This window comes from Homo sapiens, chromosome X (assembly GCF_000001405.40).
Source record: "Homo sapiens chromosome X, GRCh38.p14 Primary Assembly".
NCBI classification, from domain to species: domain Eukaryota; kingdom Metazoa; phylum Chordata; class Mammalia; order Primates; family Hominidae; genus Homo; species Homo sapiens.
The window spans coordinates 33,115,885-33,129,830 of NC_000023.11; the positions used below are offsets into that span (position 1 = coordinate 33,115,885).

Here is a 13,946-nt window from a genome sequence, read left to right on the forward strand (position 1 = left end):
TAAACAATGATTCAAAAATGCAGAGCTGGGTGAGCACGGCGGCTCATGCCTGTAATCCCAGCACTTTGGGAGGCCGAGGACAGAGGATCACCTGAGGTCAGCAGTTCGAGACCAGCCTGGCCCACATGGTGAAACCCATCTCTACTAAAAATACAAAAATTGGCCAGGCATGGTGGCGTGCACCAGTAATCCCTGCTATTCGGGAGGCTGAGGCAGAAAAATCGCTTGAACCCAGGAGGCAGAGGTTGCAGTGAGCCGAGATGGTGCCACTGCACTGCAGCCTGCGAGACAGAGTGAAACCCAGTCTCAAAAAAACCAAAACAACGACAAAAAACCACAGGGCTGGCCGGGCACAGTGGCTCACACCTGTAATCCCAGCACTTTGGGAAGCTGAGGCAGGTGGGTCACCTGAGCTCGGGAGTTTGAGATCAGCCTGAGTGATAAGGCAAAACCCCATCTCTACAAAAAGTACGAAAATTAGCTGGGTGTGGTGGAGCGCTGGTAGTCCCAGCTACTCGGGAGGCTGAGGTGGGAGGATCACTTGAACTCAGGAGGTCAAGGGTTCAGTCAGCCATGATCGACCACTGCACTCCATCCTGGATGACAGAGAAAAAAAATGCAGAGCTACTGAGGTATTTACAAAGAAATATAAAGCACAGCACGTGCTCTCAGGAAATCTATAAAAAAGTTAAAAAGTTATGGAATCAAAGTTAATCCACAGGAAATAATTAGCAAGCAATTATGTCGATAACTGGGTAGAAATAACTATGTGGAACAAAAGTTCATAGAAAAAAGAGGTGTTTCAAGCCGTTAGAGAAAGTGTTGTGGTAACTAGGACTTGAATTGAATTTTTGAAGATGGGAATGCTTTAGAACCAAAAGTCGATGGAGGAAAAAGATTCCAGAAAGGGGGAATCAGACTAGAAAAGCAAGAATAAATGAGCTGGCCTGTATAGGAGAGAGAATATTTTATGCAGAGTATATAGATAAAGTAACACAGTTCAAACCCTTAAAAGTGTATAGCCAGCATAGTTTTCTGCCAGGATTCATACTGCTCTCAAATCAGAAGATACTCTACTAGATTTAAGAATTACATAGTCAATCAGCTGAAAGCCTTGGAACTTTCGGCTACATAGTCATTAAAAACACTACTATTATAGCTCAATTTCACCAGGCCACATTATATATATATATATTTTTTAACATAATGTACACAATACATATATACAATTTTGCCAATTAAACTTGTTTTTCAAAAAGTAACTCATTTTATCTAAAGAAGTTAAGCTCATCAAAGCAAAGTGGAACAGTGGTAGCCAGTAACTGGGGATGGAAAAAAATGGGGAAATGCTGGTCGAAGGATAGAAACTCTCAGTTATAAGATGAGTAAGCTCTGGGGATCTAATGTACAGCATGTTGACTATAGTTAATAGTACTCTATTGTTACTTGAAATTTGCTAAGAGAGATCTTAAGTGTTCTCATCATAAAAAATTATAATGGCAACTATGTGAGGTGAAGGATATATTAATTAACTTGATTGTGATAATCATTTCAGAATGTATATGTATCAAATCATCATATTGTACACCTTGAATATACCCAATCGCCATTTGTCAATTATACCTCAATAAAGCTGGGGGAAAAGGTACCTCATATTTATTATTACATTTTATTGTTATAACACATATATTTTATCTCATTTGACCCTTGAAGTAACTGAACCTAAAAAGCAGTATTTTTAGATATGAAAACTGAGGCCCATTGAGGATTAATGATTCTCAAAGCCACAGGGTAAGCAGTAAAGTTACAACTCCTCTCATGTGTCCTGATTACAAATCATTACCTAACGTCTGTAATTTCCTTGCATCATCGAGAACCTGAAACTTTTATCATAAAAACATTTCTAGGAAATCTGGTACCATACGCTAATCAACTATGGAAAGAAAATCCATTTTTAAAGGAGTATCTCAACTTGTTGCAATTTGCACATAAAAATATCCTTTGTCTCATATACTACGGGACAAAACAGAAGCAGAAACAATGAAATAGGTTCACCATTAGAGATCTGACTAGTCTTGAAATGTAGACAATTCAGGTCATTAGTCATGGAGTCCTAAGGGGAAAAAGCATGCCTGATTCCACACTAGTAAAGCCAGAAGCTATCTAATTTACATCCTATACTTGGCTGAGGATATCAGATGTGTTCAGGCTGAACAAGTTCAAGACTCTTTTTTTTTTTTTTTTGAGACGGAGTCTCGCTCTGTCGCCCAGGCTGGAGTGCAGTGGCGCGATCTCGGCTCACTGCAAGCTCCGCCTCCCGGGTTCACGCCATTCTCCTGCCTCAGCCTCCCGAGTAGCTGGGACTACAGGCGCCCGCTACCACGCCCGGCTAATTTTTTGTATTTTTAGTGGAGACGGGGTTTCACCGTGTTAGCCAGGATGGTCTCGATCTCCTGACCTCGTGATCCGCCCGCCTCGGCCTCCCAAAGTGCTGGGATTACAGGCGTGAGCCACCGCGCCCGGCCAAGACTCTTGCTTGAGTAATTTAAAGGGATGTGACACAGTCTGAATAGTAATTGGTTATTTAATAATCCTGCCTGCAGTGGCAACATAAGCTTGCTTTACTCTTAAGCACTGGATAGGACAAACTGTCTTACTCAGTCCTAGGAAAAGAAACGTTCATCTGAACAAAAGATTTAAAGTCGACCTGATGTGAAATCCTGAAATACATTTTGAAAATGAATGGATTAGCGATAAAATTAATGAGAAGACTAAAGTCTCTGAAATGAAACATTTTTGGCATGTGATAACCTGATATGCTCCCCTCAAAAGTCCCTTGGAATTAGCCTAGCTATCTCAGCATAGCTTTTCTTACATCATGGGTATTACATTAGCCAAGCCAACTTGTCTATTTGTCCTTGTCTCACATCACTTTTCACCCTCAACTTTTACTCCATTTATGCCAATCTCCTTATCCACAGCAAGATGCTACTTTGACTTTTTGGCCTTTCTCAGCATGCTTCTTCACCACTGTGGAAGAGCTTCCCAGTACAACTACTACTACTGCCAACCACAACCTCCATATCTGACACTAAATCCTTGCCTACTAAACTGCTCATTATCTTTAAAATTGGCATCACTCACTTCTACTTCACACATCCACTGTTCGATATCCAGCCAAGCCTGGACTCTGACTGATCACTTCAGTGCTACATACAAAGACACCTTAGACTTTACTTCCTTGAACTTTATTGAACATCTTTACTTCCTTGAACACATTGTATATATAATAGAGAAGGAGGCATATAACATGACATATGTCAAAAATATGTCATATATGTCATATATATGTTTTATATATATATATACACACACACACATATAAAATGAGCTCAAGGAAGTAAAGAATTGTAAGTATTGTCTTCTTTCTCCAATACCTACTCCTCTTTGCTAAGGCATCAGATGATGTTGTTTGTGACTCAGTAAATCACTATTATCCACCATCAACTGAACCATGCTGTTACTCTTTCCCATTAGTTTATTCCGCAAATACATATTAAGCTACTACTGCGTGACTGACAATATGCATGTTAGTGTATATTCAGTGGCGATCAAGGCAGTTAGAGGATGGATGAGGAGAGCATTCCAGGAAGAGGCAATAGCAGTACAGAGACTGGCATTTGAGAAATGGCAGCAGGTCAGTATGGCTGAAATGCAGCAAGACTGCAGAAGAAAAGGAAGAAAAATGAAGTGTGGTTCTTGGTAAAGATATTGGACGCATCAGAGCAGTAACGAATTTTAATCAGAGATTGACACAACCTGGTTTATGTTTTTAAAAGCTCAACCTTTAGGCCATGTAGAGTATGGAGTGAGTAGAAAAGGACAAAAGCACAAGTGGCAAAGATGAGTTGGGGGATTATTGTAGTATCTAAGGGTAAATTAGACTAGGATGGAAACAAAATATATGGATGATATATGTCCATTTTCTCTGCTGTTCCATGAGCCTTTTCTTCACTTACTGGGCTATCTGGTCCATCTCCCATAACCAGTCTTCTAACCCTTCCTATTGATTTGCAGGTTCACTAACTGTTTCCTTTCGATCCACCTCCTGTTCACTTTTAGGTACTAAACAGAGTGAAGTCATCCCGTGTGAGTTTCCTCACCCTCCCTCCCTCTAACATCTTAAGTGCCTTTGCCCTGTTTTGTTTAAGCATGTGAAACAATTTCTCGCTAACCTTCTGTGTTACTTTAGATTCTCCCCAGACAGACACTGAGGCAAGGATTTGAGGTGCAGGTACACAGTTTATCTGGCAATTGATTACAAAAAGTACAAGTGAGAGGAAAGAGAAAGTGAGATTAGGAAAGGTAAGGAGGCAATCAAAGGTGTGTCAATGAGCACATTATTCTGGGGCTCAGTCCTGCTGGTGAATCTCTGAGAAGCTGTGAGGAACATGCCTCAGAATTATGCACCAGAAGATGAGATGGCTGCGTGCTTTTTTCAAGTACTTCCATCCCCTCGTAGTTAAAGGTCGCTTCTGGTGACATTAACACAACCCCTCATATTTCTGGCTTACTCCTGTTTATAGCAAAGCAAGATACTGCATGGAACTCGGGTGGGGAAAGAAATATGCGGCAGAACATCAGCAACAACTTTTACATCTTCTTATCCCTTCAGGATCTTGTTTATTTCTCTCCTCTATTGAAACACTTTTTAGGCCAGGCACAGTGGCTCACGCCTGTAATCCCAGCACTTTGGGAGGCCGAGGCAGGCGGATCACCTGAGGTCAGGAGTTCAAGACCAGCCTGGCCAACGTGGCGAAACCCCGTCTCTACTAAAAATACAAAAATTAGCCAGGTGTGGTGGCGTGTGCCTATAATCCCAGCTACTCGGGAGGCTGAGGCAGGAGAATCGCTTGAAACAGGGAGGCGGAGGTTGCAGTGAGCTGAGATCGTGCCACTGCACTCCAGCCTGGGTGACAGAGCATGACTCTCTCAAAAAAAAAAAAAAAAAAAAAAAAAAAGACTTTTTAAAGGGGTTATTATTAGGGGCTATATACTGGATCTTATAAATCATCTAGTCCAACCCTATTATGTGAAGATTAGAAAACAAAGCATTCACATTATTCTATCGATTTTTGGAATGCTATTTGCAAACTTTTTTCTGGGCCCACTTAAATGTATAAGTTTTCCATATTTTATGTTGGTTAATAAGATTAAAACCAATTTTAATATCTTGACACCACATTGCCATTTATCAATATGTACTACGTTTTTTACTGGTTCCTCAAATCTCAAATCTGTGCCAGCGTCTGTTGAATTTTTATAATTTTGACTCAATTTATCATTCTTTTTTTTTTTTTTATTGAGACGGAGTCTTCCTCTGTCTCTCAGGCTGGAGTGCAGTGGCACTATCTTGGCTCACCGAAACCTCCGCCTCCCAGGTTCAAGTGATTCTCCTGCCTCAGCCTCCCTAGTAGCTGGGACTACAGGCGCATGCCACCATGTCTGGTTAATTTTTTTGTATTTTTGGTAGAGACGGGGTTTCACCATGTTGGCCAGGCAGGTCTCGACATCCTGACCTCAAGTAATCCGCCCACCTTGGCCTCTCAAAATGTTGGGATTACAGGCGTGAGCCACCACGCCTGGCCTATCATTCTTTTTTAATTTGCAGACTTTTAAGAACAGGCTAATTTGAGACACAGAACCACAAAAGCTACTTACGTTCCAAAATGCTCTGCAGAATCTCTTTTTGCATGTGCTACGTATGGCCTTTGGGAGAAGTACATTTTTTGTAGTTGTTTTGTGGTTTTTTGAAATGACTAGAAATATTTTTAGGGCCCTAGAAACCTCCAAGGTAAGTGTTTAGAAATTGTGCTTCTAGGAATCTGTCAGTACTTTTGTAAACATTATCTGAAGCATAAGCATAAACAAATTTGAACAGCAGGCTAGCTCACACAGAAATGATTTTATTCATTGGAATGTTCTCACATGTGGTATACTTTATTTTTAGTTTGGTTTCATTTATGATTAATAATTATGATTCCAAAGGTGCTTAAATCAGCCGGCCATGGTGGTTCATGCCTGTAATCTCAACACTTTGGGAGGCCGAGATGGGCAGATCACTTGAGGTCAGGAGTTCGAGACCAGCCTGGCCAACAGGGTGAAACCCCGTCTCTCCTAAAAATATAAAAATTAGTCAGGCACGGTGGTGCATGCCTGTAATCCCAGTTACTGAGGAGGCTCAGGCAGGAGAATTGCTTGAGCCTGGAGGTGGAGGTTGCAGGGAGCCGAGATTGCACCAGTGAGCTCCAGCCTGGGTGACAGAGTGAGACTCCGTCTCAAAAACAAACAAACAAACAAACAAAAAACAAAAAACAAAAATCAAAGGTGGTGAAATAATTTTGTTGAATATTTGGCACTGTCTACATTAATGCACACACTCAATGTATATATTTTAACTTAATTTATACTTAAAATTGTATAAAATTATTTTAGTCAAAGAACCTAATGCAGCTTAGCCTTGATTGATAATTTCATTATCTTTAATTACATGGCAGAATTTCTCCTCATTACTCTTTAACCAAAAGGCTGTGGTAGAAATCATTGATGCTCATTTTTATTGGAAAGTAATTTTTCTAGATTTCCTGATAATTGAGTGATAACTTCAGCACTCCTTAGTCACTTTTCATTATGCAGACAAAATCTGACTCTTAACTTTCAAAAAAATATCTTACCATAATGTATTTTCAAATAACATGAGTTTAATTAAAAAGAACTTTCCCACAGGTTCATGTTTAATCTTGGTTTGAGTCTTGAATATAGAGTGAAGCGAAGTACAACTTTTTCTGCTTTGGACAAATTTAGAGCTGCTTGAAGAGATAAAAACAAGCGGGGACCTCCCTCTAAACCTTCCACTTCTCTTTCTCTCCCTCTCTCAACTGTGTTCCGAATGCTTTCTCTAAAACACAGAGGCTGAGTTTTGACTGGCTGGAAAAACATCAGTTTATTTCATGTTCTTCCTTTCTCCAGCTTCCATTTCAATTCCAAGTGTGGCCCAAAAGAAAAGATAGGAACTGCATAAGGATGTTTCAGTCAATGATAAACTGCATATACCGCAGTGGTCCCATTTGATTATAACACGGGATTTTTACTGTACCTTCTAATGGTTAGATATGTTTTAGACATTGAAATATTTACCATTGTGCTACAGTTGCCTACAGTATTCAGTACAGTCACATGCTGTACAGGTTTGTAGCCAAACAGAAATAGGATATACCATACAACCTAGGTCTGCACTACGCTATACCACGTAGGTTAGTGTAAGTACACTCTGTGACATTCACACAACGATGAAATTACCTTAGTATGGATTGATCAGAATGTATCCCTGGTGTTAACACATAACTGTATATATCCTGTGTGTGTTTGTGTGTCACTGAAGAGATATGATTCCTTCACCATGAGGAATCAGAAAACTGAAAAGGTAAACAAATTATTGTATCCTGAAAGTCTCAAATGAGTTTTTGTTCTACTTTCTTTTGTTTTTTTTTGAGACAGAATCTACCTCTGTCGCCCAGGCTGGAGTGCAGGGGTGCGATCTCGGTTCAATGCAACCTCCGCCTCCCGGGTTCAAGCAATTCTCCTGCCTCAGCCTCCCGAGTAGCTGGGATTTCAGGAACCTGCCACCACAACCTGGCTAATTTTTGTATTTTTAGGAGAGACAGGGTTTCGCCATGTTGGCCAGGCTGGTCTCAAACTCCTGACCTCAAGTGATCTGTACACCTCAGCCTCCCAAATTGCTGGGATTACAGGTATGAGCCACCACGCCCGGTTCAAATGAGTTTTTTTTTTTTTTTTTCAGTCCAATATTAAAACAAACGAAAACCAGAATGCCTTTTGTTCTCACATTCAATTCATAATCTAATAGCTATCAGAATAAAATGTCATATTTATTATTCATTTGGAAGAAAACAAACAGCAGTAAAAATTGAAATAAAAGGCTGGGCGTTGTGAGTCACTCCTATAATCCCAACACTTTGGGAGGCCGAGGTGGGCGGATCACTTGAGGACAGGAGTTAGAGACCAGCTTGGCCAACATGGTGAAACCCTGTCTCTAATAAAAATACAAAAAAATTAGCTGGGCGTAGTGGCGAATGCTTATATCCCAGTTACTTGGGAGGCTGAGGCAGAAGAATTGCTTGAACCCAGGAGGCGGAGGTTGCAGTGAGCCCAGATAGTGCCATTGCACTTCAGCCTGGGCGACAGAGGGAGACGCTGTCTCAAAAAAATAAAATAAAAATAAAAATACCCTGGCCAGGCACGGTGGCTCACGCCTGTAACCCCAGCACTTTGGGAGGCCAAGGCATGCGAATCACGAGGTCAGGAGTTAGAAACAAGCCTGGCCAACATGGTGAAACCTCGGCTCTACTAAAAATACAAACATTAGCTGGGCGTGGTGGCAGGCGCCTGTAGTCCCAGCTATTCGGGAGGCTGACGCAGGAGAATCACTTGAACCTGAAGGGCGGAGGTTGCAGTGAGCCGAGATCGTGCCACTGCACTCCAGCCTGGGCGAATAGAGGGAGACTCTGTCTGAAAAAAAAAAAAAAAAAAAAAAAAAAAAAAAAAACCGAAAGAAATAAAAATACCCTGTCTTTATTTTCTTCCTTGGCAAAATTGTCTGTAGGATTCACTCATCCATTTATTTAATTAATTTATTGAATTCCCATTACATTCCAAGCAGGTATTAACTACTAAGGATTCAATGATGAAAGACAAGGTGTATAGGAGACCTAGTACGTACAGCCTTAGTTTCTTTTCTCAGATTTATGCTCTAAAATTCCGTTAAGAATGGATTTATTGGCTGGGTGCGGTGGCTCACGCCTGTAATCCCAGCACTTTGGGAGGCAGAGGCAGGTGGCTCACCTGAGGTCAGGAGTTCGAGACCAGCCTGACCAACATGGAGAAACTCCGTCTCTCCTAAAAATACAAAATTAGCTTGGTGTGGTGGTGCATGCCTGTAATCCCAGCTACTCGGGAGGCTGAGGCAGGAGAATTGCTTGAACCCAAGAGGCGGAGGTTGCGGTGAGCCTAAATCTCGCCATTGCACTCCAGCCTGGGCAACAAGAGCGAAAGTCCATCTAAAAAAAAAAAAAAAAAAAAAAAAAAGGCTTTATTTTTATGAAGAAAACCATAAATTAATGTCATAAATCTTATCTATGTTAATAATTATCAGTTGCTTTAATCATGAAAACAAAAGGGAAAAACTGGCAAGTGAGCCAGGCTGAAATAATTCAATATAATATTTAAAGATTAGAAATATGGTACACTTGTTTTCTAAAGATCAGCTCCATCTTATCAAACTGGAATAACATCTGAATTAAAATAATGTGACATTGTCATCAAAGCTCTGATTATTGCTGAAGCATGTGATAGGTAGGACTGGCCAAAAATTAATACATTAGAAAAGTTAAATAAAAAATAATATATATTTCCTTGATATGTTTAATCAAAAACATGGAGAAAATAATTGTAATAAAAATGTCTACATCCTTAAAGGCATGTTCACCCCTAACTCTCAGTTACGAACATCTAGATTAAATTTCATTAAAAGTCAATTATCCATATTAAACATTTAATCTAAACGTTGCGCCCCATTAGAATACATCAAAAGCTTACATTTTACTAAAAGAAAGTGACTACAATGAATGAACATATAACTTTATAGCAAAGGTTATAATTTTTGAATGTTTGACTTTAGTTGTTAACATTTTTAAAGACGTTCTAATTTTTTACGAAGCATTATAATTAAGCAAAATATCCAGTTTTTTCATAGTTTCAGTTTTCAAACTGTGGCTTTGGTAAGGTAAGTTGGAAAACATCTTAGTTTTAATGGCCCAAAAGGGGAGACTTTGATGTATAGTATAGATTCAAGTGCTTATCTCATGGATCATGCTTTCATTTTACTAAAAATATAATAGACTAAAACTTTACATAGGGAGAAATCGCAGAGAATAAGAATCAAAGGAGTAATTAAAAATTGAGGGTTTTGGGAGGCTGAGGCAGGAGAATCACTTGAACATGGGAGGTGGAGGTTGCAGTGACCCGAGATCGTGCCATTGCACTCTAGCCTGGGTGACAGAGCGAGACTCCGTCTCAAGAAAAAAAAAAAAAATTGAGGTTTTACGTATTTGAGACCTAATGACCAATTGTTTACTTTTGTCAACAGTAATTTTACTGCTAAGTAATTTAAGTAATTTTACTGCCAGTTTCAGCAGGAATACAATTTCCTAACATAGATATTTAATATTTTATTCAATATTTTAATATATTAATCTTTAGTAGAATATATGCTTCAATTTTGTGAGGATATGTGTTTATTTTCTTGTACAGTGTAAACTAAACAACGCATAAAGAGAACACAGGTAACTAGATTAAGAACAATTATTTTCTGCTCTTTGTATTAGAACACTCATTTTCTGTTCTTAGTAATCTAGCAGCATCAGCATCTCCTAAAAAATCTGTTAAAAATGCAGAGGTTGGGGCCCCACTTCAGAAGGACTGAATCAGAAACTCTGGGGGTGGCATCCAGCAAGCTGTGGTTTAACCAGCCCTCCAGGTGAATCTGATGCCCACTCAAGGAAGAGTGAGAACCACTGTTCTAATCTATCGTCTTCCAAGAGTGTGTGGGAAGATCAAAGAAAAATCAGGTCATGGGGCTTTGCGGAGAACAATCAAACAAATACATAAATCAAGGACTCTATAAGCATAATTTAATAAATAGACGGATGATTGTTTTTAACTTATTTTTCAATTTCCTCCTTAGTTTGTACATGCATTTAGAGATAATCTCAGCAATGTCAGCGAGCTTGGTGGCATAGTTCAAGCTGTGAAGGTTCAATAAATAGGTCGGTAAACATTGCAAATCAACACAGCTTTTGATGAAATGTCAGGCAAGACAGGGCTTAGCTATATTCGGCTCAGCTTGAACTCATAAACCATCAACTGGCCTCTGTACTTCCAGGACAATCTGATGAATAAAATACAGATATAAAATTAAAAAATATATTTATAAAGAGATTAGTAAAACAGCAATCTGTAAGTGAGAAATGACAACCACTTAGTCCAGACCAAATGAGAGAGAAGACTTGCAAAAGGGTAACTTTTCTTACAAATCAAGTTATGGGAAAATTTGAGATCCAAATAGACTTTTAACTTTGGATTGTCTTTATTCCCAACACACGTTTTTAATTTAATGCGGTGTACTTTATCCTAACTCTTTTAGCTCACCCCCCTGAAAAAAAAACTAGCTGTCTTCCTAAAGATAGAGAAAACTTGTCCAAGTCAGAAACTCTTTGGAATTTTAATAAAAGTAACATAATTTAGAAATTAATATACTTCAAATATACTGACAGTATATATTGGCAACAGAATATATGCTAATTTAGAATTTTAGGATATTCTATAATTAAAAAAAAACCTGATAAATCACTACACCTTTTCACTTTATTTAGAAGCTACCATTTAATAATAAGTGTTTAACCTCTAAAATCATTCTGAGATATTTCAGATAATTAGGCAGCCTGGAATTACTGTTTACAATTGTCCCAGTTTGCTTCCTAATAAGTTGTGCTTGTCTAAACATGTCTAAATTACTATTCACAAGGATCCTTGTTATTTCCGTCTTCTTTGATTAAAAACTTCTTAAAAATGTGAGTGTATATGTGTATGTATATATATACACATACACATATTCATATGTACATATATGCATAAATAAGCCCATATATATATGTGAAACACAGGTTTTTCTATTGTTAATATAAAAATCCCTCATTAGTTTTCTAATGAGTTTATGAATGTAGTCTACGTCCTTAGAAATTTAATTTGAGGTAAAAATATTATCGTTTATAGATTAAGGTCTGGATATTTTTTTCTTTTCTTCATACTAGAAATAATTTTAGATACCTGAAGACAAAGTTCATTAAAGCCACAACCCAAAAAGTAGAATATGGGTTCCTTCTTATTTCAGTGATTTGCATTATCCTATAGGTTATTGGTGTCAAACCCCTTTCTTCCCTTCCTCACAACAAAAGCCCCAATTTAACTTTTATAGAAAGGCATATGGAACAGGAGTCATCCAAATATATCCCAGGGGTTGCAAATTGACCAAAAGAGTCACCTTTAGGGAAGCCTGCTTCTGAATGCTTGTGGAATTTATCATTCTTCTGAATGGCTGTTGCATTTATCTGCAGCTTTTACTCACCAGATGAGACCTCAGACATTTCAAATTCTGCGGAGGCTGGCTACACACCTTCATAGGAAAGCTTTTTGCTGATTTCCCTGTTGGTACTTTTCTCTTACACATTCTATGGGGTATGGTAAACCTGGAGGTAGAGTCATAGCCAAGCACAGATAAAGCAGGCACAGAATCTCTGACCAGCCTCACAAAAGCAGACAAACACACAATCTTTTTGCACCTGTTTCTTCCACTCCGGTTGCCGTGAATAGTGAGGTGTTCTCACAGATTCAGCTTCACAGACAGCATTTTGCAAACACTCCCCTCTCACAGCAATGGTTTCTTCCCTCACCGGCTCAATCTACCTGATTACGTTCCCTTCTAATCAGTAACCTCAGTTCCTCTAGAAATAACTGTGTCGTCTGCTTTATATAGGATTTATCTGAGTCTGAAGCAGAAACTGGAAAGTAGACTTAGAGGAGCTGATTATTATGAAGACACCTGTATTTTTGTCTGGTATTCACGTGAACTCGACAGTGCACTCATTTATGCAAACTGGTGTTAGTGAAAAAGAAAAAGAAGCAGAGAAGGAAGCAAAAAGAAGAGACTGGACCTATAAAGTTGCGCACCTGTGTGATGCTAGGAGAAGAAAATAACTCTAAAAACGTCCAGTGCTGCTGAAAACACATTTGAACTTCCTATGAAAACCAACAGTGCTTGACATACAAATATCTTCCTCCAGACACACCTTTAAAAATACATTTTAAAATCTGAAACAATCTTAAACTCAATCTAAACCACAATGCAGAAGTTAATTCTTAAGGCAAATGGAGATTAAGAACGAAACTTCATCCACATAAACCCTGTGTTTTAAAAAAAGAATTAAAAGGAATAATCCGTATAACTTACTCAAATTTGTATTTGAAGTTAAACCTTGAATCCTGCTTCTTGAAAAAACAGAATTGTGTCAGGCTTCTGTAATGACTGTTTACCCAGAGCATAAGATTGAAGTGGATTTTCAGATTAAAAATAAAACTCTTAAGTATGTCAATCCCCATCTGATCAAAGCATATAAACTAAATTTTTCCAAGGACTTCATTAACAATATAACCAAGTAGAGCTGCAGTTCTTGGTTTTCTTTAGAGTAAGTTGTTAAAATGATTGAAGTTCATGTAAAAGAAATCCAGAGTTACAGTTAAGGTTTGCTTTTTTTTTTTTTTTTTTTTTTTTTTTTTTTAGTAGATCCAGTGCCCGGCAAACAGTATGTGCTCAACATATGTTTATTTAATGCGACCAAAAGCATACAATATAAAGTGTCATTATCATTGCCACTGATATTTTTAAAAAGCCATGTTCTATACTTATTTCATTTTTACGTAAGCCACAATTTTACAAGGTTTCAAACAAAAAAAAAAACCCACACCTTGTTTTCTTTAATATAAAATATTTGGCAATTATAAGCATGGACCGTGCTGGCAGTAAGTTAAAATGTGACTGATTTTTTTTTTCTCCGTTCCCTACTCTCAATTTTCAGATGCGGAAATTTCATTTGGAGAGAACAGGAGGTGTTGGTGGGAAAAATCTCATTAATCGTACCGTATTCCCTTGTCTACAAAGAGTACTGCATCCAAATTACAGAAGAACTAAAGAAACCTTGTAGCATGAGTATAATTAGCAGTGCTACTAAGTGAATGGAAATGGAGGTTGCCTA

The 13,946-nt window shown here is 38.5% G+C and overlaps 1 protein-coding gene across 17 annotated transcripts in view; it reads right to left on the reverse strand.

Annotated features, from left to right (window-relative positions):
• Window positions 1-13,946, reverse strand: part of DMD (dystrophin) — a 2,220,167-nt gene that overhangs the window by 1,996,663 nt on the left and 209,558 nt on the right. The window contains 1 exon segment of one of the 17 annotated variants that reach the window (NM_004009.3): window positions 12,263-12,544. The exons of 15 other annotated variants lie outside the window; for them this stretch is intronic. In NM_004009.3, the coding sequence (NP_004000.1) occupies window positions 12,263-12,281 (19 nt within the window). In that variant the 5' untranslated portion in view covers window positions 12,282-12,544. 17 annotated transcript variants of the gene reach the window in all.